The 1,747-nt window shown below is 40.0% G+C and overlaps 1 annotated feature.

Annotated features, from left to right (window-relative positions):
* Nucleotides 1,236-1,295: an enhancer, noted in NCBI's record as "active region_10137". NCBI's record gives its function as "activates an Ori minimal core promoter by ATAC-STARR-seq in GM12878 lymphoblastoid cells {active_cell/tissue: GM12878}" and the evidence as "EXISTENCE:reporter gene assay evidence [ECO:0000049][PMID:35858748]".

The raw sequence follows: 1,747 nt of genomic DNA, 5'->3' as shown, positions 1-1,747 counted from the left end.
CCCTGTGCTCTGACTCAACACGTAGGAAGAACTCTCCACCACAGGTTATCCTGCAGAACCTAGAGGTGAGAAGGTCCCTCAGTGTTTTCCTTTTGAGCTCTTCTGCCTGAAAAGAAACAAGGCAGTTGGGAAAATTCATGATTTGGGTTCTGGGGAGACCTCAGTTCTAGTTCATGCTCTTTTAATTGAACTTGGGTAACCATTTAGCACCCCCTCCTCAGTTTTTTTATCTGTGAAATGGGCAAACTAGACTTAAATCTGAGTGATTATTTCTTTCTGTTTTACTCCCTAAGTTCTAACAGTGACCTGAATCGTAAGTACTCATGGAAAACAAATGAGAACGTGGTTAAGAAAACAAACAGATGTTAAAGAGTATAATCTCACTGAAGGTATTAGAAAGGCCAGTGAATTTGATGTGTGTACATGACCAAGCACTTCCTCCACTCTATCTTTAGGCCTGTGTCGTGGAATTGGAATTAATATGTCTTTGGAGTTTTTGTAGTTCTACTTGAGGACACATAGTTTTGTAACAGCACCATTAAAAACTGACTTTCCAGGCAGAGATTTCAGCATGCAGATGCCCCCGTGGGATTCAGCAATTGGCCTGGCGTCCATAGTCTGAATCAGAGTTTAAAAATTCTTTAAAATAAACAGTGGTGTTCTGGCTTGTTGAAGGTCTTACTTTCTGGGGGGAAAAAAAACCACCTCTATTTTTGCTTGCATGGTATAAAGCCTTTATTTTAGGTAAAATGCGTATTTCAGTCCATCTGTATTTATGCCGATGCGGGCTGTGGACACCACTGTGACTCTGGTCTTTGTACTGGGAGCTGAATTGAGTGGCGAGGGCCTTTCTTTGTTTCTCACTGACTTTGTCTCTGAGAGCTAGACTATTGCTGCAGATAAAATGAAAAGATATTGTTTTTAGATCCAAAGATGGAAGAACTCCCTCTGTGCAGAGAAACCAAGTAGAACCAAGGGTGTAGATGCATCATCAGAAAAAGAGTGGCTGGATTGGTTTTGTTCCTCTCTTCACTGATGCTGGCACCAAGAGACTTCTGCTAAGAGCTTATGATTATCTATGCACCTTGATGCCAACTTTATGCAGACAAAGTTCAGTTGAATTAGGGAGCTAGTTGTTGTTTCTCGTTCTCTAGTTGTTTTTTCCTCACTGATCCAACCTCACATGATAATAACTTAGTAAACACGTCTACTTTGACATCCTGCAAACCTCAAACTTAACATATCTGAAACTCAGTTCCTGTCACTGATTAGAAACAAAAGCAAGGGTGGAGAGGGGCTCTGCTTTCTGTTTCATTTCCAATATGTATTATTCTCATTGTCTTTGTTGTCTAAACTCAGAAATTGAGCCTTGCTTCTGAATTTTTTCTTCTCTCTCTTGCTTCCTATGTGTTAACAATGATTCAATCCCATTGACTCTTTCTTCCATCTATGACCTGATTCTATCCTTTCTATTTTTGTTGCCCCATTTAATAAAAGTTCTCAGATTTTTGTGCCTATACTACTGCAATAACCTTCTGAGTTCCCTTTTTTATCATTTACCCAATATCATTCCTGCTGCAACTGTCTCTCTTCTTCTTATGCTTCCATGGTTTATGCCTCATCTTGCTTTTTCACCCAGACTGAGATACTTTCTATTCCCTCATTCATTTCACCTGACATTCTTCAGCAATCCCACTTTGATCCTTCTATGAGCCCAGTAAACACTTTTCCTCCAGATCCTAATTGT

The sequence above is a fragment of the Homo sapiens genome, chromosome 15 (assembly GCF_000001405.40).
Source record: "Homo sapiens chromosome 15, GRCh38.p14 Primary Assembly".
Taxonomy (NCBI): domain Eukaryota; kingdom Metazoa; phylum Chordata; class Mammalia; order Primates; family Hominidae; genus Homo; species Homo sapiens.
This window is presented reverse-complemented; position numbering and strand designations above follow the sequence as displayed.